At 41.0% G+C, this 25,742-nt stretch overlaps 1 protein-coding gene and 1 non-coding gene across 16 annotated transcripts in view; both read left to right on the forward strand.

Annotated features, from left to right (window-relative positions):
* FAM120B (family with sequence similarity 120 member B) overlaps positions 1–25,742 on the forward strand; it is a 116,365-nt gene that overhangs the window by 22,212 nt on the left and 68,411 nt on the right. For 14 of the 15 annotated variants that reach the window (XR_002956306.2, XR_007059342.1, XR_007059343.1 and 11 more), the window contains exons 2-4: positions 4,456–6,210; positions 10,165–10,345; positions 17,535–17,636. Coding sequence is in view for 12 of the 15 variants with exons in the window: in NM_001286379.2 (NP_001273308.1) it covers positions 4,456–6,210; positions 10,165–10,345; positions 17,535–17,636 (2,038 nt within the window). In the remaining 3 variants the exon portion in view is untranslated. The remainder of the gene's footprint in view (positions 1–4,455; positions 6,211–10,164; positions 10,346–17,534; positions 17,637–25,742) is intronic. The other variant, NM_001286381.2, reaches the window with a different exon arrangement.
* MIR4644 (microRNA 4644) lies at positions 17,847–17,930 on the forward strand. The gene has a single exon (NR_039787.1). It is a non-coding gene; the product is annotated as a microRNA 4644 (primary transcript).

The raw sequence follows: 25,742 nt of genomic DNA on the forward strand, positions 1-25,742 counted from the left end.
AAGGTAGCCAGATATCAAAGGTGGGTTCTCTTTAAACTGACTTAACAGGATTCTTGCTACAAGCCCCAGATTGAGGCCTGGTAGAGAGGAGGGCTCAAGGCCCTAGCAAAAGTGTGGTCAAGATGAGAGTCTTTATCGGTGATTGGGAATTCTTGCAAAGCTCAGCAGTTTAATGACCCCTGTATGGAGATCATCTGAAGCATCAAGACCAACTTAACTGGCACCCACCCTTATTTATTCACCTGGTTGTTTGTGCATTCATAAATAATAAACCTTCAGCAGATACTATCCTGTGTGCTGGCAAGGGATAAATATTAATCTCTTGGGATTTTCGGTCCCTGTTCTCACCCAACTGGTGTTTAAGAGGTCCCTATGAGTTTCACTTTTTAGGCGGGGGAGGAGAGGAGAGAAGAAAAAATAGACCTCAGATACTCCACAACAAGCCATGGGGGAACATCACTGGGAGAGCCTGGGCCCAGGCCCAGCCAGAAGTTACCATTGAAAGAAAAATTACTTTGTACTTGGAAATAAAACAAGAAAAAGGAAGACTTTGTGTTTTGTATTGTCATACTGGGCTGTTGTTTCAGACTCACCCAAGATTATTTAATTTTCTAACAGACTTACCTCTGTTTGGCTTTGCTGCTTACTCTCCATTAGAGTACAAACATTGTGATGTTATATGCTAGTTTGTAGATTCGAGATGCGAATTATTTCTGTGCAAAGATTATGGTTTTATTGTCTCCAGCTTACCTTGCTTATTCCAATGTGCCTTTGCTAATGGACTGTGTGAGCTTGAGCTCCTCTAGTGCTCTGATCCAGCTTCCCTGTCTCTTACGTGCCATTGCTTATTACTACTTGCCTGAGTTATGTCTTTTAGCTTTAGACAGTTATGCTTTGACATGGCTTAGATGCTGGGGGTCTGTTAAGGTGGTTACAGCAGCCAAGTATTGGTTGTCCCGCAGAGGCTGCTGTCCGTGTGGGGAGTTGCCCTTGGGCTGTCTGTAAGTCCCTCATCCCTGTGTCCAGAGTGACGCCAGATGAGTCTTCCTCACTGTGTGTGCGTCCATCAACATCAGGCAGCTTTGTTTATGCTGAGCGCATTGCTCTTAACCTCAAGGTTTGTAAGTTGAAAGATTATAGTAAAGGAGCTTCTGAACTTCTCTTTGCTCTTTCCATTTCCCTATTTACTGGTAACTCAATACCCTGGGACTGGTCTGACTGTCAGGAGAATGAGCCAGCCCTAGGAACAAGGCAGCCTCCAGCTGTACCTTATGCCTGCTGCAGCTCCTTACTGGGATTTCCTGCTGGTGCTTTGTTTCCCAAACCCTTTGTAAGCTGCTTGAGGGCAGTGATTCTACTTTGCACTGCTTCTTTGGCCATAATTGAAGTCTGTAACTTACTGATTCCTGATTTCTCTTTATATACTGTCCTTGGATTAATTCATTTATTTATTCAAATACTGGGCCTGTCCCATGCAGATGTTGTGCTAGGTGCTGGAATAAGACAGGATGGTGAGCCCCACCTCAAAGGGAGTGATCCCCAAAGGGTCCCAGGCCATATTTGGGGCAATTAGACTCCTCCCTAATGAGAAATAACTTCTGTTTTCTTTCTAAACAACTATTACCTAGATAATGAAAATTTCTTATATAATTTGCAGGTAGAATGACTTTTATATACACATATTATTTTCCCCAGTCATCCCATAATAACCACCTTTAGAGAATGAAAAGCCTGCATATATGCTCTTAGCAATGAAAGGCTTAAAAAAGAAAAAATTTAAAGCGATATCCATGGAATTTTCTATATCTTTTTATACATTTTATTCCCTACCTCACTAATTGCATTGATGAATAGATGTTGTGAGTATTTAGCACTTTGAAGATACTGAAATACTGGAAGGCATCCTCTAATATCACAAGTTCCCAAAACCTTTGCTATCCCAATTTTTCTTGGTAAGTAGTATAGAAGAGCACATTGTAATGTCACACTCTAACTCATGATTCAAACTGTGAGAAATTGGTCCTGTGTGTCTTGAGCAGTCCAACCAGCAACTCTGGGAACTGCCTGGCCTGAGAGCCCCACTGGCTGCTGACCACAGTGGGCGTGCGGTGAACCCTAGGGCCTGGCTTGCAGTCAGGTTCAGTCCTCTGCTTCGACTGTATTCAAATGCTGTTCCTTGTTTTTTCCTTTCTGCTGTCCAGGGGCTCTCCTGGGCCTGCAGCAGCCAGCACAGAGCTTGGTGAGAGAAGTGGGGCCTTCCCTCACAGCGTAGAAATCAAGTCACACTCCAGATTTGTGAGGCTTATCTTTGGCCAGCTCATCATCAGCAAACCATGCAAGGCCTGTTTAAATTAAAGCCAGGCATAGAGCAGTCGTCTAGAGCTGGTGAAATCTAAGCCTTCTTTTAAAAGCCATTTTGACCAACCTTTTTTGTATTCTTGTATTTCCTTTCCAACACCTGTCCCCTGCCTACTCTGTTGGAATAACAAATGAAAAAGAATACCCTTTTTCAGAAATAAGAGTGTAACCTTCCTGGACATAGGTTCCATGCCATAGAACCACCTTACAGTTGACGTAATCACACTATGAAGCCCAGTTTCCACTTCAAAAACTCAAATACCTTGGCTATGTTTCCAAGATAAACTCTTTACAAGTCACAATACTGTAGTGATTTGGTGTAGATGTGTGAATGTATCCCATTATATTTAATAACTTTATGAGCAAGCCTTCTCTAAATGTCATCATAAAATGTGTGCTATTTATGTTCACCCAATTTTTGCATATTTTCATTATGCAATTAATGAAAATCCCATTAATGTGGCTATTAAAAGCATACCCTCAAATTCTACTGTTAGGGGCTAGAGCCCATTAAAAATCAGTAAATTCTGTTTGGGCACAGTGGCTCATGTCTAATCCCAGCACTTTGGGAGGCTGAGGCGAGAGGATCGCTTGAGTTCGAGAGTTTGAGACCAGCCTGGACAACACAACATAGTGAGATCTTGTCTCCACTGGAAAAAAAAAAAAAGGCCAGGTGTGGTGGCAGCTAAGACAAGAGGATCGCTTGAACCTGGTAGGTTGAGGCTGCAGTGAACTGTGATCACCCCTCTGCACTCCAGACGAGGCAACAGAGTGAGACCCGGTCTCAAAAAAAAAAAAAAAAAAAAAAAATCAGTATATTCTTAAAAGATAGTCCTGTGAGGATGCCTTTTCTCAACCTAACAATTTATAGTTTCTTCATTTGTAAAATAAAGCTGATAATATTTACGTGTCAGGGTCGTCCTAAAGATTAGAATGTAGATGTTAAATGCCTACCACTGTCTGGCAGCTGGGAAATACCCTCAACATGAGAGATACCCATGTGCTTAGTCACCTCATGACTGCTGCCTTCAGCCTGTCTAGGAGAGGCGTCATTTGTTTTGTGCTGCTGTTTGTATATTAAGAATTTTTTGTTGTGTTTTATCAAAGGACATAAAGCCTGCATGACTCTTAAAGAAAACTATAGTGGAAAAAGCATAGATCATAAAAATGTCAGCACGGAGTTTTTCTGACCATTCACGCACATCATTGCCTACTTGAAGAACGCCTTTTATAATGTCATATACAATATTGTGCTCATACCTTTTCCAGATTCCAAATTCTAACTGTAAACTACTTTGTATCTGTCTTTAAATTTTCAAATGGGCAGTTTCTCTGCAAAGTCAGTCAATCACTATCTCAGATACTACAACATTTGGCATAGTGAATTTTATGTGGCCTTCTTAACACCTTTATTCAGGTGTATGTGACACATGTTTACAGTATACAGTTTGGTAAGTTTTAACATATGCATACACTTGTAAAACCATGACCACTAAGTGGTTAATGTATCTGTCACCCCCAAAAGTTTCTCCTTGGTAATCCTTCCCGCCACTGTCTGTCCCCATCCCAGACAACCACTGATCTGTTTTCTGTCACTACGGATTAGCATAACTCTTCCTGTACTAGAATTTTATATAAGTTGAATCATAGTGTGTACTTTTTTTGTCTGACTTCTTTTACTCAGAAAAATTATATTGAGAATCATCCATGTGGTGTTTCAATTTATGTTTTAGATTTTTAACAATAACTTCTGTTTGAGTTCCTAGATGAGAAATACTACTACTTTGAAAACTTAACCTCTTTTTGAATTTTATCAAGAAATACCTTGAATGATAATCTTAGTGAAAACATTAAAAGACTGCTATACTCTCTTGTCCTTGTGAAAGTCCAACTCAAGTAATTAACTTATACTTAGGTAAAGTTCCTCATATGTTTGAATTGAGAACTCTTAAGGCTCCTAACCAGCATATCATGTTACCTTGGAGACAAGAGTGTTTTTGGAAACAGTGTGAATATTAACTACTGTGTTTGCTTTGAAAGGTGCCATATATCTAATGATAATGCCATAATTACTGATTAATTTATCTTTCTTTCCAGATCCTTTCCCGGAGTTCAGTTATGGGTGTGAGAGGTTTGCAAGGATTTGTGGGAAGTACCTGCCCACATATATGTACAGTAGTAAATTTCAAAGAACTGGCAGAGCACCACCGAAGCAAGTATCCTGGATGTACCCCTACCATTGTGGTTGATGCCATGTGTTGTCTCAGATATTGGTATACTCCAGAATCTTGGATCTGCGGTGGCCAGTGGCGAGAATACTTTTCTGCTTTGCGAGATTTTGTTAAAACTTTTACGGCAGCTGGGATCAAGTTGATATTCTTCTTTGATGGCATGGTGGAGCAGGATAAGAGAGATGAATGGGTGAAACGAAGGCTCAAGAACAACAGGGAGATATCCAGGATTTTTCATTACATCAAGTCACACAAGGAGCAGCCAGGCAGAAATATGTTCTTCATCCCCTCAGGGCTAGCTGTGTTTACACGATTTGCTCTAAAGACACTGGGCCAGGAAACTTTGTGTTCTTTGCAGGAAGCAGATTATGAGGTAGCTTCCTATGGCCTCCAGCATAACTGTCTTGGGATTCTGGGGGAAGACACTGATTACCTAATCTATGACACTTGTCCCTACTTTTCAATTAGCGAGCTCTGCCTAGAGAGCCTGGACACCGTCATGCTCTGCAGAGAGAAGCTCTGTGAGAGTCTGGGCCTCTGTGTGGCCGACCTTCCTCTTCTGGCCTGCCTCCTTGGCAACGACATAATCCCAGAGGGCATGTTTGAAAGCTTTAGGTACAAATGCTTATCGTCCTACACCTCTGTAAAAGAGAACTTTGACAAAAAAGGTAACATCATATTAGCTGTGTCAGACCATATATCGAAAGTTCTTTACTTGTATCAAGGTGAGAAAAAATTAGAAGAGATATTACCTCTGGGACCAAACAAAGCTCTTTTTTATAAAGGAATGGCATCATATCTTTTACCAGGACAAAAATCTCCATGGTTTTTCCAAAAACCCAAAGGTGTAATAACTTTGGACAAACAAGTAATATCCACGAGTTCAGACGCCGAATCCAGGGAAGAAGTTCCCATGTGTTCAGATGCTGAATCCAGGCAAGAAGTTCCCATGTGTACAGGCCCTGAATCCAGGCGAGAAGTTCCCGTGTATACAGATTCTGAACCCAGGCAAGAAGTTCCCATGTGTTCAGACCCTGAACCCAGGCAAGAAGTTCCCACGTGTACAGGCCCTGAATCCAGGCGAGAAGTTCCCATGTGTTCAGACCCTGAACCCAGGCAAGAAGTTCCCATGTGTACAGGCCCTGAAGCCAGGCAAGAAGTTCCCATGTATACAGACTCTGAACCCAGGCAAGAAGTTCCCATGTATACAGACTCTGAACCCAGGCAAGAAGTTCCCATGTATACAGGCTCTGAACCCAGGCAAGAAGTTCCCATGTATACAGGCCCTGAATCCAGGCAAGAAGTTCCCATGTATACAGGCCCTGAATCCAGGCAAGAAGTTTTAATACGGACAGACCCTGAATCTAGGCAAGAAATTATGTGTACAGGCCATGAATCCAAACAGGAAGTTCCCATATGTACAGATCCTATATCCAAGCAAGAAGACTCCATGTGTACACACGCTGAAATCAATCAAAAATTACCTGTAGCAACAGATTTTGAATTTAAGCTAGAAGCTCTCATGTGTACAAACCCTGAAATTAAACAAGAAGACCCCACAAATGTGGGGCCTGAAGTAAAGCAACAAGTAACCATGGTTTCAGACACTGAAATCTTAAAGGTATGTGTATCTGCCCAGCCAATATGCCATGATTGAAAATATATCCGCTGATGGATTTGTTAGTGAAGATCCATTACTGCCTCAGTGTTTGGCCACTGAGAGGATGCACAACAGGAGTCTCTAAGTCTCGTTAGGAAGTGTGACGTTATATGTGTGGAAACTCACAACCAATGTTGGATACTGTCACATGAATATTATAGAAAAGTGCTATAAGAATACAAGAGAGAAAGAGAACATTGTGGGTTAAAGTACAGGGAGAAGGCCGGGCGTGGTGGCTCATGCCTGTAATCCCAGCACTTTGGGAGGCCCAAAGCAGGTGGGTCACCTGAGGTCAGGAGTTCAAGACCAGCCTGACCCACATGGTGAAACCCTGTCTCTACTAAAAATACAGAAATCAGCTGGGCATGGTGGCGCACACATGTGATCCCAGCTACTCGGGAGGCTGAGACAGGAGACTTACTTGAACCTGGGAGGCGGAGGTTGCAGTGAGCTGAGATTCTCCAGCCTGGGCAATAAGAGCAAAACTGTCTCAAAAAATAAAAATAAATAAAGTACAGGGAGAAGTTCCCCAAAGAGGTAGAACTGGAGCCAGACCTTAATGGGGCAGCCAAAATATGCATTGAATAAGCAAAGACTTGGGAGTTGTGGAAGTACTAAAGGTGTAGCGTTTTGAATCTGCATCACGCGGGGGCGCAGGGAGAAAGTCCAGGCTAGAGCGTGGGGTTTGGAGAAAAAAATGGGAAAAGGTGGACAATCATAGCCAAATTGGGAAGGTTATTAAATGCCACATGAGGAATTTGGACTTAATTCTGAAAGTATTACAGCGCCTTTGAAGATTTTTGATGGGGGGCCACTACGTGTGAGGTTCTGTGCTAGGTGCATTAGGTAACTTTTCTCATTAGATCTTCTCAACAGCCCTGTGAGATAGACTTATCCTTGTTTTACAGAAGAGGTCTGTGTCCACATGAATGTCTCAAAGGTACCTCAGCAAGTTCTAAACCAAACTTAACTATCTTAACCACACACCTTTCCTTGTTCCCAGCACTATGAGCACCACCATCTTTCATCTAGTTACAACTACATAGATCTGTAAGGAAGCTCCTGCTCCTAGTCTGATGCAAAACTCAGGCCCGGACAGCAGCTGAGCAGCTGTGTGGTGATACCTGGAGGGCAGCCATGTGAACCTGCCAGCCAACCAGCATTCGATTTTTTTTAAGCAGGTATATCGATATGATCAGATTTTTGGTTTTTGAAACATTACAGTGCAGTGAGTGGATTTAAAGTGGCCATTGTAGTAACTCAGGTAAAATACAAAAGAGCTAGAATTAGGAAAATGGCAGTGGAAATAGGAAGAAACAAATTCAAGAAATGTTTCAGAAGTGAAACTAATAAATAAGTCTTGCTGTGGAGGTGAAGTTCCTCCTTGAGTACCGGCGATGGTAGATGGTGTTAATCTAAAGAAGAAGGAGGAAAGGTTTTACAGGGAGAAGAAGATTAAGTGGGTTATATTTTAATTGAGTAGATGGCACCTCTAACACATGTTCTCGTAGTGAAATATGGACCTAAAGTTCTATTACTGGCAAGAGACAGACATCTGGGAGTTATCCTATTTTATGTGTAAAGTAAAAGATGATGTGGGATGGAGACTTAAGGAACAGTCCACTGAGAGATCAGGAGTGAGCAGAGGAGGAAGGAGAATAAGGAGGGGATAATCCCCACAAAAGTCCAAGGGGGCAAGTTTCAAGAATGAGAAAAGAAACGGTCAGGAGTATCACATGCTACAGAGGTAAAGAGGTAGAATAGGACTAGACATAGGGACTTGGGTCAGTAATTAGGAGGTCCTGATGGCATCAGAGAGTTACTGCAGCACAGGGTTGGGAGTGGAGGCAAAGCCGACAGGGAGTTTGGCAGTGGAAGAGACTTTGTTGGGGAAGGCAGGGTCAAGGAGAGTCCTCACAGGAAGGGAGTGCCTGGGCAAAGTGGTGGGTCGAGAGTTGTTCACATGGATTGAACTTAATTGTATCTTTGAAAACAATTTTGAAGTTTCTTACATTGCCCTTACATTTTCTCTATAAAATTTTTTTGCAATGTCATCTTCAAACCCTAACAGGCAACTAAAATTCAAACGTGTATTTTAACCATACATAGTCACCCTGGAAAAATGCTCAGGTAGAAAGGCTGTGGGCACAACAGTTACATTGGATACACGCATAACCACAGCCTTATATCTGTGTCTTCTCTATGTCAGCATTTTGGAAGATCAGTTGAGTTACTGTTTGTTTCTTTGAGTCAGGGTCTCACTGTCACCCAGGTTGCAGTGCAGTGGCACTATATCCTCTGCCTCCCAGGTTCAAGCAATTCTCCTGCCTCAGCCTCCTGAGTAGCTGGGACTACAGGTGCACTCCACCACGCCCAGCTAATTTTTGTATTTTTTAGTAAAGATGGGGTTTCGCCATGTTGCCCAGGCTGGCCTTGAACTCCTGACCTCAAGTGATCCACCTCGACCTCCCAAAGTGCTGGGATTACAGGCATGAGCCACCGTTCCTGGCCGGATAGTCTTATAATCTTATAGAACATGCATTGGCAGTGAGCTGCAAGCCACACCTCAGGACAAGTGCTTTTCTTATATTGACTCATTTAATCCTCACAGTAGTCCTGGGAGCCGGGCACGTTTTTATTCAACCCATTTTCTATAGGAAGAAGGTAAGGAACAGAGAGATTAAGACTGAAGCCTATGAATAATGAATCAACATAACTAGGACTATTTAAATACATATAAATGAGACACTCTTAGGATTCAGAGTTTTTGGTATCCAGGTTATTCTAGCATCACATTTTAATGCCTTTAGTAGTAGACTGGATTTAAATTTTGAATAGTAATCTAGATGAACTTATTCTCACAGTAATAAGAATGTTCTTCACTGGAAGGTAAAACCTATATATTCAGGCTATGATAGCCCTTCTGATTTTAACTACTTACTTAATGAGAAAGTGGAATTAATTTAAATCATGTATCTCATCACCTACCATGAGCCAGCACTGTCTTGACATTACAGAGGAGAAGCACCTGTGCCTGGCACATGGTTTTTCACTCAGTAAACAATTTCTCAACAAATGAGTGAATGAATATAGTACGGCTTCTAACACTAAGCAGCTTACAGTTTAATAAGGGAGGCAGACCAGACAGCTGCGTTACAGGGAAAATAGGATATGAGCTCCATAAGGCAAGCTGGATGTTGGTCCTGTCTAAGGGAGGAGGAGAGGGTGACATCAGCAAACCTTAAAGGGAAAAGAGGATTGTAAAGTGGGAGGCTGGGAAAGACTGGAAGAGAAAGATTCTGGGTAGGGTAAGTTCTTATGGGGCACAAGTAAAGGTAGAAGAGGATTGAGTACTCTTGAGGAGCAATGAAGATGTTCTGTTGAGACTGAATTATGGCTATTTCTATGAGGGTGAAATGGTGTGCAAGGCTAGAAAAAGGAGATTGAGGCTTTATAGAGGGGCCTCAAATGTTATGGTGAAGGATTTGTGGTAGCCATTCAAATGTTTTGAATAGGGTAGCAAAGTTTTCAAAGACAGTATGGCAATGGTGTGAAGGATGGGTTGGAAAGGGGAGAAACTGGTCTAGGGGATTAAGACCCTTTCATAGCAATACTGGTGAGAAGTAGTGAGCACCTGGTTACTGGGAGGTTATCAAGGAGACAGAACAGTGAGATACTGCAGAAGATAAGACTGGTAGACGTTTGGAGAGAGGAGGAGGAGGGGGAATAGAAAGTTTGAAATTGGTAGTCCAAAGGAAAGAGAACATGGCAACTTGATGTCATGAATTTCAGGGTCAGTTACATTTCTGAGGGCCTTAAAAAACTGGCATATGATGAAAGGCATTGACTTTTTCTATTTGAAGGTTACTATCCTGTTTTTAAGGAGAAATTCAGTTGTATTTAAATTTCAAACAGGTTGCTAGAACACATCACGTCCAAGCAGAAAGCTACCTGGTGTACAACATCATGAGCAGTGGAGAGATTGAATGCAGCAACACCCTAGAAGATGAGCTTGACCAGGCCTTACCCAGCCAGGCCTTCATTTACCGTCCCATTCGACAGCGGGTCTACTCACTCTTACTGGAGGACTGTCAAGGTGAGAATTGGTTGGTCCCTCTTAGTAAAGGTTCTATTTGGAGTTGAGTTCTGAGAAACTGGCCAGATGAAATAGAGTGCATTCTTTCAAGACATGGAGACAATTAAATGGGTTTTATATCCCTGTCAAATCTATAATTGAGAATACCACTGACATCTGTAAAAAATTAAGCGTAAGTGCCATTGGACGTCTATATCTAATGAACAGTAAGTTGATGAGTGTGCATTAAAAGAAGAATGCATGATTTCTATAAAATGTCATATTTTTATGCCTTAAAAGGATTTTTGCTTTTTTAAAAAATGTGAGAATTCTTTCCTCCTGTAGGGGAGAGTAGAGTATGCCTATTATTAGAAGAAAACAATGTCTACTTAGTCTTCCCTCAAAATGTGATTTTTATAAAATAATTTTACAAAATCTAGTGATCATGTTTTTAAATACAAACAATTTTCCTTTGGTGTTTTTGTAATTTGTGTTTTTTCTCATCTATATTTCCATTATGTGCTTAGCAACAAGAGTAGAGAGCGGACCATCAAGGACCCAAATAGTGAAAATGAGGAATTTTAACCCCAAGGAGAAAGTTAGTGAAGGTCCCATAACTCACCATTTGGAATAGTTTTGGGGGGAATGAGGAGTGTGGAAGAACACTTCATATCAGAAACCAGAGATGTTGAATGCATTTAGTGCCCTTCTATTTCAGTAAGGCCTTGTTCATTTTAGACAGAGACCTTAGGTACTTTATGGTCTGATTTGAGAATGTGTTGATAAGAAACATGGTCTACACACTATTACCAGGATAAGAGAGAGAAGGAGTAGGATACTGGTGCAGGTGGTCCATTTGCCTAAACATCATTATTTCCAGACATGTCAATATTAACCGTACTCTGTTGTTCCAGAAAGTGAACATTTACATAATCTAAAAGTGGTGATAGAATCATCAGATGGAAAAGTCATCATTATTATTTTTGGATGATGGGGCTCAGGGGTAGTGGGGTTATTTAAATCCAGTTTTTGTTAGATTCCTGTAGCACCACCCAGCATGCACTGCTTTCTCCCATACATACTGCAAGAGTTCACCTCTGTGACCTAAGGAAGCAGACATGAGAAAGATGTTTAAGCTGATTTAAAAACAGAAATAAAGAACCTGTGTAATAAACTCTGGAGCCAAACGATATTTAAATCATTTTTTAAAATTTCTGTTTCTTATGTGCTCTCTACCCGCATTCTTTCTTAACATGGATGTTTGCACATTGACTCTAATGATGGAAAAAAGAGATCTTCCTCATGAAAACATTTTTACATTAAATAATAATATTGGAATTATTTTCAGACTATTTCATTAAACTATATAAATTTCACTAACCTAAATTTCATACTTTGTTAATGTAATATATTTATGACCAAGTGGATAACTTTATTAGATAACCACATAAAAAAACCATTCACATTGAATTTGTCTTCATGGTTGATCTTTAGTTTCTTTCTTTCTCCCTCAACTTTTTGGCTTTCTACATGAAGTTTACATTATTAAGATATGAAAATAAAATGCTGTTTTTGCTGATTTATATATGATGATAATAATGAAGTGTATCCTATGTTATTTGTTTGACTTAGTTTATGATCCCATTTGTAGTTGAAAATGTTGTGTATTTTACAGTTGTTGAGTAGAGTGTTCTGTAAATGTCAGCAGTGTTAATAAGGCTATTCCAAGTCTTTTACTGATTTTCTGTCTACTTGTTCTTAGTTCCCAGGAGAAAACGGTTAAAAATTCCAGCTCTTACTGTGGATTTGTCTATTTATTCCTTCAGTTCTGTCAGTTTTTGCTTTAGGTATTTTGAAACTCTGTTGTTAGGTGCATATACGTTGAGGACTGTTGTGATTCTTAATGAATCGACCCTTTTAACAGGAGAGTTCACTTTTAAAAACATGGTAATACTCCTTGTCCTAAAGTTGTCTTTGTTTTATTGTAATATAGTCACTCCAGTATTCTTACTGTTAATGTTTGCATGGTATGGTATTTTTTCTATCCTTTTAAACTATTTCTTAACATCTAAAGTGCATCTCTTTTAAAAACAGCATGTCCAGTGTCACAGTCTCTCTTTTAATTGGAATGTTCAGACTGAACGTAACTCTTGGCATAATTAGGGCTCACTCTTCCGTTTTGCCTTTTGTTCTTTTTTCCCCACCTTATTTTCTCATTTTCATACTTCTTTTGGATTAGTTTAATAATTTTTAGTATTGTGTTTTATGCACTCATTTGGATTATTAGATTTACCTTTAAAAAAAAAAAAAAAAAGTAGTTGGCCGGGCACGGTAGCTCACGCCTGTAATCCCAGCACTTTGGGAGGCCGAGGCAGGCGGATCACCTGAGGTCAGGAGTTTGAGACCAGCCTGGCCAACATGGTGAAACCCTGTCTCTACTAAAAATACAGATATTAGCTGGGCATGATGGCAGGTGCCTGTAATCCCAGCTACTTGAGAGGCTGAGGCAGGAGAATTGCTTGAGCCCAGGAGACAGAGGTTGCAGTGAGCCAAGGTCACACCATTGCACTCCAGCCTGGGGACAAGATGGGGACAAGAGCGAGACTTCATCTCAAAAAAAAAAAAAAAAAGTGGTTGATCTGGGGGTCTGTTAGATTGGTGCAAAAATAATTGCGGTTTTTGCAATTACTTTTAATATCTTTAACATCACCATTTACTATCAAATAATATACTATGTTACTAGCAATGTAAAAACCTTGTAACTGTGTATTTTCATTCTCCCCAACATTTTTGCTATTGTCGTTTTATGTCTTGTACATATATATATATTTTAAATTTGAAATAATTACGGATTCACAGGAAGTTGCAAGAATAGTACATAGTTTCCCATGTACCCTTCACTCAGATTCCTTCAAAGATGACATCTTATATAACTGTGGTGTAATATCAAAGCCAGAAAGTTAACATCAGGTACAATGCTAACTAAACTGCAGACCTTATTCAGTTGTGCCATTTTTTACATGCATGCATTTATGTGTGTGGGTGTGTAGGTCTGTGCAAAGATCCTGCAGCTACCACCACAGCCAAGATACAGAGCTGGTTTGTTAGCACTCCCTCCATGTGCCCCTGTGTCCTGGCAATCTTTCTTCCCCCCATTCCTGTCCTCTGGCAACTGCGAATCTGTTTTTCATCTCTATGTTCTTGTTCATTTCAGAATGTTACATAAATGGCAGCATACAATATGTAACCTTTGGAGATTATGCATATGTTGTAAACCCTATAATACATGAGGGGTTGGCACACTTTTTCTGTGAAGGGTCAGATAATAATAAATATTGTAGGTTTTGAGGGCTCCTTCCACAGTCCCCGTCACAACTACCCAATCCTGCTGTTGTAGTGCAAGAGCAGCCATAGACAACATGTACATGAATGAATGTGGCTGTGTGCCAGGAAGCCTTTATTCAATTTTCCCATGTGACAGAACTTGAATTTTATTTTATTGATTTATTTATTTTTTAGAGACAGAGTCTCACTCTGTTGCCCAGGCTGGAGTGCAGTGGCACCATCACAGCTCACTGCAGCCTTCAACTCCAAGGCTGAAGGGATCCTCCTACCTCAGCCTCTTGAGTAACTGAGATGACAGGCATGCGCCACCACACCCGGCTAATTTTTAAATATTCTTTTTTTGAAGAGATAGGATCTCGCTATGTTACCTAGGCTGGTCTCAAACTCCTGACCTCAAGATATCCCCCACGTCAGCCTCCCAAAGTGTTGGGATTACAGATGTGAGTTACCGCACCAGGCCAAAACTTGAATTTTTTTTTTTGAGATGGAGTCTTGCTCTGTCGCCCAGGCTGGAGGGCAGTAGCACAATCTTGGCTCACTGCAAGCTCCGCCTCCCGGGTTCACACCATTCTCCTGCCTCAGCCTCCCAAGTACCTGGGACTACAGGCACCCGCCACCATGCCCGGCTAATTTTTTGTATTTTTAGGAGAGACGGGGTTTCACTGTGTTAGCCAGGATGATCTCGATCTCCTGACCTTGTGATCCGCCCACCTCGGCCTCCCAAAGTGCTGGGATTACAGGCGTGAGCCACCGCGCCCGGCCAACTTGAATTTTATAGAGTATAATTTTCAGGAGTCACAAAATATTCTTAAAAACATTTTTTTCCAACCATTAAAAAAATATGAAAACATTATTAGTTTTCAGACTGTAAAAAAGCAGGCAGATTTGACCCATGAGCTGGTAGTTTGCCAATTTCCACTTTAAATTATAGGCTTTATACACACTGCACACGGAGGCTGCTCCGGTGAGTCCATGAGTGAGTGGGGAGTGAGTGGGAAGACCAGGATATGACCATGCTGCTGTAGGCTTTATACACACTGCACACGCAGGCTGCTCCGGTGAGTCCATGAGTGAGTGGAGAGTGAGTGGGAAGGCCAGGACATGACCATACACCGCTGTAGGCTTTATACACACTGCACATGCAGGCTGCTCCGGTGAGTCCATGAGTGAATGAAGAGTCAGTGGGAAGGCCAGGACACGACCGTATACTGCTGTAGGCTTTATACACACTGCACACGCAGGCTGCTCCGGTGAGTCCATGAGTGAGTGAAGAGTCAGTGGGAAGGCCAGGACATGACCGTGTTGCTGTAGGCTTTACACACACTGCACACGCAGGCTGCTCTGGTGACTCCGGTGAGCGAGTGGGAAGTGAATGGGAAGGCCAGGACATGACCATACACTGCTGTAGGTTTTATACATACTGCACATTTAGGGCTATAATACATTCAAAAAATATTTCTTTCCTCAACAATAAATTAACCTTAACTTACTGTAACTTTTTTACTTTATAAACTTTTAAATTTATTTAACTTTTTGACTCTTGTAATTAACACCTAACTTAAAATACAAACACATTATACAACTGGACAAAAAATTCTTTCTTTATATCATTCTATAAGCCTTTTTCTATTAGAAAAATTTTTAACTCTACTTCCTGAATTCATACTTTAGAAACTTTTAATTTTTTTAAACTTCTTTGTTAAAAGCTCAGACACAAGCACGCACATTAGTCTAGGACTCCACGGGGTCAGGATCATCAAGGCTTCACCAGAAATGTGTGTGCAGTCCATCACTAACCAAATCATGGTTTATGCAGTACAGGACTGTATTTCATCTTTCTTTGGGGGGGTATAGTTTTGCTGCATATAGAATTTTAGGTCGTTCTGTATTTTCTCCTGGCATGTGTAGTTTCTGATGAGACAGCAAGGCTCATCTTTATCGTTGTTCCCCATGTGTTACGTGGCTTTTCTCCTCTAGCTGTCTTTGCAATTCCTCTCCTGTTTGCTGGATTTTGAGTAAGGTTCACTCCTGCCCCCTTCATGGGATTCTTGAGCTTCCTAAATCTATGGGTTTATATTTCCTATCAAATTTGGAAGAAATGAGCGTTTTTTTAAATAAGATTTTGTCTTTCTCAATCTCTTTTGCCTCTTCCTCTGGGCCATTTGTTGACTTCCTCCTACAGGGTCCACATAGTTTTGCTTATTCTCATGTCTAGCGTTTTTTGATTATATGCCAGAACATTTTGGATACTAAAAAGAGTGTAGAGTTTAGTTCTGTCAGACAGTTACTCTACCTGCTCCTTCCGAGACTTGCCTTTAAACTTCATTAGGCTGTGTCCATTGTGGCTTTTACTTTACAGCTAGCACAGCCCTACTCCTAAGGCAGGGCCTTCCAGGCTATCACCAGAGTGCCCAAGGTGTAGGACGAGGTCTCTTCATGTTTGCTGGTGGTGGAAGCTCCACTGTCTTCAAGCCCAGTGCAAGCTCCATTGGTTGGCCAGCCCCAGGACCTTGCCTGGCTTCTCTGAGTCTTACCCTATATCCTGATAGCTCTCTCTTCAGCCAGAGTCTAAAGGGCACTTGCCATCTGCACACTGCCCTGCTCTCTGGTGCTGTGTCCTGCAGATGGTGGCCTCAATAGTCTTGATCTCCAGTCTCTGTCTCCTCATCTGAGGAACTACCTCCCTCACTAGGATACAGTCTGGACAGTGCCTGTGGGCACAAAATTGGCGTGATAGAGAGTTGTTTCCCTTCTGTCTGGGATAACAATCTGGCACTGCCCATTGTCCGTCACATGAATGCAGTTGCTAGAACCATTTCTTCAGTTCTAGTGTTGATGGTAGGAAGGCTGGTCAGTGGCTCTGCCCTTTCACAAACGACCACCCCCACTGTCCCCTGCTCAGTGGCTCTGCTCGATCACAGTCACCCCCGCGGTCCTGTGGCATCACAGGTGCTGATAATGCCAGCTGCAAAGTCGAGTGCTGGAGTGATTCATGTTCCTTTTTTACCGACTTTTTTTTTTTTCTTAGAAGGTTTTGAGGTGTTCTCTTTATCCTGTGATTAGCGAATCTCTGTTGTCTCAGTTCTCTCCTGGAAGTGCTGTGAAATGCAGGTGGGGCTTCCTGGACTGATACTCTCTTTCTTCATCTTTTGATTCCTGTTTTTGTGTTTTTGTGCTACATTAAGGGGACATCTCTCCACTTCATTTCTCAGCTCTTTTATAGAAGTGTCCACTCTTCTTCTCTTCATCAAGGCCTGCTTCCCCCAGCCCTGGACCAAGCCCACTGCCTCTTTCTGCCCCGCATCGAAGCCCTCTGCCCAACTTGAGCAGCTGTCTGACTGATGATCACCTTTGTGCTGGGATATCTGGCATCTAGGGACACCACCTCTTCTTCCCTTCCCCCTTAAGCACCTGTTCTCTGCTGACCTCCTCCCTTCAGAGTTCCTCAGTTACACCCACTGTCTTCTTTACCTGGTCTTGCTTTAAAAAACTGTATCCATGTTGACTGTCCAATTCCAGCAGTTTTCTTTAAGTGTTTTCTGGAACAGTGTGAGGGAGGTAGGGAGGAAAGACATCGTAGGAGTCATTAACATGGTAAACTCTCTCTCCCATATTATTGTTTACTTACCCAGATTATCCTGAGGATTTTGTCGGTTCCACAGGGTATGGTTCTTGATGGAATGAACAGATTACCCTCAGATTGGAGGATAAGAAATTAATTGTTGGATAACTTAAGGTTACTCAGTCACCTTGGATTTGAGAGCTCACCTTTGAATTGGCCACCTGGGCAGAGCTGGGTCTGTGACACTGTGAGCCTGGCGATGCATGCCCTCATGCATCTACTGACCCAACTCTTTTTCTTCAGATGTCACCAGCACCTGCCTAGCTGTCAAGGAGTGGTTTGTGTATCCTGGGAACCCACTGAGGCACCCGGACCTCGTCAGGCCGCTGCAGATGACCATTCCAGGTACAGGCAGCCTTTCTTTAAATGAACCACAGATCTTTCCATTCTATGATAAAAGTCTAAGAATGCATCAGTTATGGAAAGCATCTTTTACCAGAATTGCACAAATACTAGTTTTTATTTAAACCCTTGGCTCATGATTAATGTATCCATCTAACAAAGTCCCAAAATAATGGAAGGATGATGCTGTGGCAGGTTTACCCTGGACCATCTGCGGCGGTGCTCTGCCTCTTTCTCCATCCACCCTGGTCCAGGTCCACAGCAGTGGAGAGAGAAAAGAGACAGAAGGATGGCCGTGGTCAGCGCATGTTGCTGCCGCAGCCCCAGTGCCTGATGTCTAGTTGTTGCTTGGTAGACGTCCAGAGTTTAACAGGATAGATTCTTGATATTCTGCTTGAATCAACAATCTTACCTTCTCCCCACCACTGAAAGCATATTTTGATGAGTTCTGGCACCAGAAAGAGAAGATAAAGGAGGGTTATTTCCACTGGAAAAAAGGTTATATTTTCATGAGCAATATCTTAAAGCTTAATGAGAGGTAAGGAAAAACAAAGTTCACCTGCAGATTAGCTGAAGTATATCCAAAGAGCAGCCTTTCTTTCTGTGAGTTCGTAGTATCTGAAACAGGTCAGGAATGTACAAGTGTCAGGGTAGGGTTCTACACACAAACAGTTAAGGAAGAGGAGGCTAAGCTTCAGAGTTTATTTTTAGTGGCTCATGTCATTGTTTCACCGAACAAATATTTTCCTACAGTTTTGCTATTCCATTTTCATATGCATTAAATTCTCTGGTTTCGCTACTATTTTCCATGACATGAACGTGTAATTTACCAAGTACAGATCTGAGCACTATAATTGGTTTTTAAATAAATGGAATTGTATTGAGAGAGAAGTTGAGAAAAGCTATTGTAGGGAGTGTTTCCTTATTCTGTTAATCATACACTAAAACCTTAAAAGTACTTACCAGAGAAACATAATTAGAATGCATTGACATTTGTTTTTGCAGTAAGGAGCATTTTTTTAAAGGATAGCCAAAATAATTTTCCAAAAATGTTTTATTATATATGTATTTTCATCTTATAGTATCTTTCCAAATATAATATGGAAAATGACTATTACATCTCTTTTCATTGTTTGAATTAAAGAGAACATTTGACTGTTCGTCATTGTGTCAAGAGTTAATTTTAAAGGCCACTCTATATAATGTTTTAATAAATTCCAGAAATTGTATAAGTATTAGAGAGACTACTTCAGAGCTTGTGAAAACATCCTCTGTTGCACTCCTAGAGTGGGAAAGCGTGTGTATAGCACCTTGGACCACACATTGGGTTCTCTTCTGGAAGGAGCTCCGGAAGCCTGTGCCCTACATGGAGGGCCACGTCTCAAACACACTCATTTTCACAGCTATTATTCTAGACATAGGATTTGAACTTTTATACGGAGGGCCACGTCTCAGACACATTCATTTCCACAGCTATTGCTCTAGAAATTGGATTTGAATTTTTATATGGAGGGCCACGTCTTAAACACACTCATTTCCACAGCTATTACTCCAGACATAGGATTTGAACTTTTACACGGAGGGCCACATCTCAAACACACTCATTTCCACAGCTGTTACTCTAGAAATTGGATTTGAATTTTTTATTCCAGATTATTTCAATGGGTGACTCCTTATTTACACTTGCACTAATGCAATATCATCAATAATGATGATAATTCAAAAGACAAGATTTTAAATTTTAAGTGCTTTTCCGTATCTATGAGGAATATTGCCAAATGATTTTAGACAAAAATGGAAAACAGAACATCCAATTGCCTGTCAAGTATTCACATGAATACAACATACGATTAAAAACAGATCAGCTGGGTGGGGTTGGGGGGCTCACGCCTGTAATCCCAGCACTTTGGGAGGCCGTGGCAGATGGGTCACCTGAGATCAGGAGTTTGACACCCGCCTGGCTAACATGGTGAAACCTTGTCTCTACTAAAAATACAAAAATTAGCTGGGTGTGGTGGCAGACACCTGTAGTCTCAGCTACTCAGGAGGCTGAGGCAGGAGAATTGCTGGAACCCTGGAGGCGGAGGTTGCAGTGAGCCGAGATCACGCCATTGCACTCCAGCCTGGGCGACAACAGCAAGACTCCATCTCAAAAAAAAAAAGTGAGATCCTGCCGATGGGCCCTTCCTGTCCACCTGTCAGGAAAACCTGCAAAAGGTTCTTGTCGCACCATTAGAGCCAGTTTTTCCCAAATGACACCCATACCTGATTTTCCTTGTTCTTCTAAGACAGTTTTAATTAGGATAATCTCATAAGTGCTACATTTTCAGTGAATTTTTCAATATAGTGGCCCATGTTCTTTCTTTTTTTTTAAAGTCTTTTTCCTCTGGTAGCACATGTGATTTAATGCTTGCTTTCCTGAATTGTAGAAATAAAAGGAAATCACAAGTATTTTCCAACAAAGTGGAACTGAGGCCGAAGGGTGCAGAAAAAAACTATAGAAATTAGTTAAAAATTAGGAAGGGGAAATAATCAAAATTAACGAGCCAGGGAGCAGAAAAAGAAATCTCATTCCTGGGTGCTATGGTTTGAATGTTTGTACCCCCACCCCACCGCCCCCCCGCCCCCCGCAATTCCTGTATTGAAAACCTAATCACTAATGTGATGGTATTGGGAGGTGGGGCCTTTGGGAGGGAAAGAGGTGATTAGATGGGATTCCTGCCCTTATAAAAGAGGCCCCTTCTTCCGTGTGAAGGTGCCAATGTGCCATCTGTGAACCAGGAAGCGGGGCCTCACCAGAAGCCAACCATGCTGGCACCTTGATCTTGGGCTTCCAGCCTCCAGAAATTTTCTGCTGTTAAAAGCTACCTAATTTATGGTGTTTTGCCATAGCATCTCAGATGGACCAAGACACTGGTTTGTTTTATTCAGGGAGCTTATTTACATGCATATATTTCTGTGAGCCTCATCTTTTTTTTTTTTTTTTTTGAGACAGAGTCTCACTCTGTCGCCCAGGCTGGAATGCAGTGGCACAATCTTAGCTCACTGCAACCTCCGCCTCCTGAGTAGCTGGGACTACAGGCACATGCCACCACACCCAACTAATTTTTGTATTTTTAGTAGAGTCTGGGTTTCGCCTTGTTGGCCAGGCTGGTCTCAAACTCCTGGCCGCAAATGATCCTTCCGCTTCTGCCTCCCAAAGTGCTGGGATTACAGGCGTCAGCCACTGCCCAGCGTATGGGCCCCATCTTTACGTGTGTGCATGTGGGAGCATGTATATAGGATATATATACTACATTTCATTTCTTTTACAATATATCATGGAAGATGATGTTTCTGATAACACAGTTTAGCTTCCATTTCCCAAACCCAGCTCGTAAAGGTCCTTGATGTGTGCATGTGTGTCTACCCTTTCCCAGCACACTGCCTGCTCTCACTCCCTTACTAACTTTCCTGACGTTCTCCATTCTGTGGCTGGGAGTCTTGGCCCACACCAAAGGCAAGCATTTGAAATTGCCTTTTCAGTCTCCAGAATTGGAGATTTGTCAATTCTTCATTTTCAAAGTGCTGGTGGCTTTTTTTCTCTTCTAAGTGTTGTTTTTTTAAGTTACTTTAAGCATATCCTTATTTTAGAAACCTAGGAAAACTAATGCACACATCTCATTGGTAATTTGTCTATCTTGAAGAACCTTTTTAAAGTGGTGTTCAACAATCAGAAAGCTTAGTATTTCTTGGCTATACACATTTGATTTACCAAAATTGCAGAATATCTTAGAAGACTATTTTACAAAACGAAATGAGGGTAAGTCATACATTTCATGAAAAAAGGACCATGTATTTGATTCAATCTGTCATTTGCTATCAAACAGTTGTAGTGGCTTTCTTGTTCACCTCCTCTTACATACACTGTTGAAGGTTTTCATCTGATCCTTGTTGCAAGGTCAGTCAAGAAAGTGCTCAACAAGTCTTGGAGGTTTCTGTGAGTGGTAAAAGGAAGCTGGTGTGTGTGTGTGTGTGTGTGTGTGTGCACATGCCCTTAAGGAAGCTGGGTGTGTGTGTGCCTGCCCTTGGTGAGGCTCTGCTCATGTGGCTGCCAGTGTCTGAAACTGCCCCGACCATTGCAGATCAACATAAATTGGTTAAAATCTCAAAAGCAGTTTTTCACCAACTTGTAAAAAATAGTGTGAAGCTTTGTCAAATGTGTTAACAAATTCACATTAGAGTCACAAGGGTTAAATTTTGCATTACTACTTTTTATAGCCACTTTCACTGTTGAATGCATTAGATGGGAGTGGTGTAATGATGTAATTTTTGCAAGCATGAAATTAGAAAACTTATCCATGTAAGTATAGAGTTTGATGTATTGAGATGTAAATGTATTCTGTTTTGTTTATATATGAATGAATTTTTTTGCTTATTATAAATAGGCTTTTGAATTTTGTTCATCTAAAGATTCACTTTGCATGTGCGTAGTCAGGGTTTTTTGAGTTTTTTTTTTGTTTTTTTTTTTAATGTAAGTTCTGGGATACATGTGCAGAACTTGCAGGATTGTTACAGAGGTATACATGTGCCATTGTGGTTTGTTGCACCTATCAACCCGTCATCTAGGTTTTAAGCCCCACATGCATTAGGTATTTGTCCTAATGCTGCCCCTCCCCTTGCCCCCAACCCCCCAACAGGACCCAGTGTGTGATGTTCCCCTCCCTGTGTCCGTGTGCTCTCATTGTTCAACTCCCACTTATGAGTGAGAACATGCGGTGTTTGGTTTTCTATTCTTGTGTTAGTTTGCTGAGAATTATGGTTTCCAGCTTCATCCATGTCCCTGCAAAGGACATGAACTCATTCTTTTTTATGGCTGCATAGTATTCCATGGTGTGTGTATGCCACATTTTCTTTATGCAGTCTATCATTGATGGGCATTTGGATTGGTTCCAAGCCTTGCTATTGTAAATAGTACTGCAGTAAACATACGTGTGCATGTGTCTTTATAGTAGAAAGATTTATACCTTTGGGTATATACCTAGTAATGGGATTGCTGGGTCAGATGGTATTTCTGGTTCTAGACCCTTGAGGAATTGCTACACTGTCTTCCACAATGGTTGAACTAATTTACAGTCCCATCAGCAGTGTAAAAGCATTCCTATTTCACCACATCCTCGCCAGCATAGTTGTTTCCTGACTTTTTAATGATCACCATTCTGACTGGCATGAAATGGTATCTCATTGTGGTTTTAATTTGCATTTCTCTAATGACCAGTGATGATGAGCTTTTTTCTTCATATGTTTGTTGGCTGCATAAATGTCTTCTTTTGAGAAGTGTCTGTTCATATCCTTCATCCACTTTTTGATGGGGTTGTTTTTTTCTTGAAATTTAAGTTCCTTGTAGATTCTGGATATTAGCCCTTTGTCAGAAGGATAGATTGCAAAAATTTTCCCCCATTCTGTAGGTTGCCTGTTCACTCTGATGATAGTTTCTTTTGCAGTGCAGAAGCTCTTCAGTTTAATTAGATCCCATTTGTCAATTTTGGCTTTTGTCACAATTGCTTTTGGTGTTTTAGTCATGAAGTCTTTGCCCATGCCTATGTCCTGAATGGTATTGTCTAGGTTTTCTTCTAGGGTTTTTATGGTTTTAGGTTTTACGTTTAAGTATTTAATCCATCTTGAGTTAATTTTTGTATAAGGTATAAGGAAGGGGTCCAGCTTCTGTTTTCTGCTTATGGCTAGCCAGTTTTCACAGCACCATTTATTAAACAGGGAATCTTTTCCCTGTTGCTTGTTTTTGTCAGGTTTGTCAAAGATCAGATGGTTGTAGATGTGTGGTGTTATTTCTGAGGCCTTTGGTCTATATATCTGTTTTGGTACCAGTACCACGCTGTTTTGGTTACTGTAGCCTTGTAGTATAGTTTGAAGTCAGGTAGCGTGATGGCTCCAGCTTTGTTCTTTTTGCTTACGGTTGTCTTGGCTATACGGGCTTTTTGGTTCCATATGAAATTTAAAGTAGTTTTTTCTAATTCTATGAAGAAAGTCAATGTTAGCTTGGTGGGAATAGCATTGAATCTATAAATTACTTTGGGCAGTATGGCCATTTTCATGATATTAATTCTTCCTATCCATGAGCATGGAATGTTTTTCCATTTGTTTGTGTCCTCTCTTATTTCCTTGAGCAGTGGTTTGTAGTTCTCCTTGAAGAGGTCCTTCACGTCATTTGTAAGTTGTATTCCTAGGTATTTTATTCTCTGTGTAGCAATTGTGAATGGGAGTTCACTCATGATTTGGCTGTCTGCTTGTCTATTATTGGTGTATAGGAATGCTTGTGATTTTTGCACATTGATTTTTGTATGCTGAGACTTTGCTGAAGTTGCTTATCACCTTAAGGAGTTTTTGGGCTGAGACAATGGGGTTTTCTAAATATACAATCACGTCATCTGCAAACAGAGACAATTTGATTTTCTCTCTTCCTATTTGAATACTTTTTATTTCTTTTTCTTGCCTGATTGCCCTGGACAGAACTTCCAATACTGTGTTGAATAGGAGTGGTGAGAGAGGGCATCCTTGTCTTGTGCCGGTTTTCAAAGGGAATGTTTCCAGCTTTTGCCCATTCTGTATGATATTGGCTTTGGGTTTGTCATAAATAGCTCTTGTTATTTTGAGATATCTTCCGTCAATACCTAGTTACTGGGAGTTTTTAGCATGAAGGGCTGTTGAATTTTATCGAAGGCCTTTTCTGCATCTATTGAGATAAACGTGATTTTTGTCATTGGTTCATTTATGTGATTGATTACGCTTATTAATTTGCATATATTGAACCAGGCTTGGCATCCCAGGGATGAAGCCGACCTGATCGTGGTGGATAAATTTTTTGATGTGCTGCTGGATTTGGTTTGCCATTATTTTATTGAGGATTTTCGCATCGATGTTCATCAGAGATATTAGCCTGAAATTTTCTTTTTTTGTTGTGTCTCTGCCAGTTTTGGTATCAGGATGATGCTGACCTCATAAAATGAGTTAGGGAAAAGTCCCTTGTTTTCTATTGTTTGGAATAGTTTCAGAAGGAATGGTACCAACTCCTCTTTGTACCTCTGGTAGAATTCGACTGTGAATCCGTCTGGTCCTGGGCTTTTTTTTGGTTGCTAGGCTATTAATTATTGTGTCAATTTCAGAACCTATTATTGGTCCGTTCAGGGATTCAGCTTCTTCCTGGTTTAGTCTTGGAAGGTGTATGTGTCCAGGAATTTATCCATTTCTTCTAGATTTTCTAGTTTATTTGGGTAGAGGTGTTTATAGTATTCTCTGATGGTAGTTTGTGTTTCTGTGCGATCAGTGGTGATATCCCCTTTATCATTTTTATTGTGTCTGTTTGATTATTCTCTGTTTTCTTATTAGTCTGACTAGCAGTCTATCTATTTTGTTAATCTTTTCAAAAAAAAACCCAGCTCCTGGATTCATTGATTTTTTTGAAGGGTTTTTCATGTCTCTATCTCCTTCAGTTCTGCTCTGATCTTAGTTATTTCTTGTCTTCTGCTAGCTTTTGAATTTGTTTGCTCTTGCTTCTCTAGTTCTTTTAATTGTGATGTTAGGGTGTCAATTTCATATCTTTCCTGCTTTCTGATGTGGGCATTTAGTGCTAGAAATTTCCATCTTAACACTGCTTTAGCTGTGTCCTAGAGATTCTGGTACGTTGTCTCTTTGTTCTCATTGGTTTCAAATAACTTCTTCATTTCTGCCTTAATTTTGTTATTTACCCAGTAGTCATTCAGGAGCAGGCTGCTCGGTTTCCATGTAGTTGTGCAGTTTTAAGTGAGTTTCTTAATCCTGAGCTCTAATTTGATTGCACTGTGGTCTGAGAGACTGTTTGTTATGATTTCTGTTCTTTTGCATTTGCTGAGGTGCGTTTTACTTCCATTTATGTGGTTGATTTTAGAATAAGTGCTGTCTGGTGCTGAGAAGAATGTATATTCTGTTGATTTGGGTTGGAGAGTTCTGTAGATGTCTCTTAGGTCTACTTGGTCCAGAGTTGAGTTCAGAATATCCTTGTTAATTTTTGTCTCGTTGATCTAATATTGACAATGGGGTGTTAAAGTCTCCCACTATTACTGTGTGGGAGTCTAA

The sequence above is a fragment of the Homo sapiens genome, chromosome 6 (genome assembly GCF_000001405.40).
Source record: "Homo sapiens chromosome 6, GRCh38.p14 Primary Assembly".
Lineage (NCBI taxonomy): Eukaryota > Metazoa > Chordata > Mammalia > Primates > Hominidae > Homo > Homo sapiens.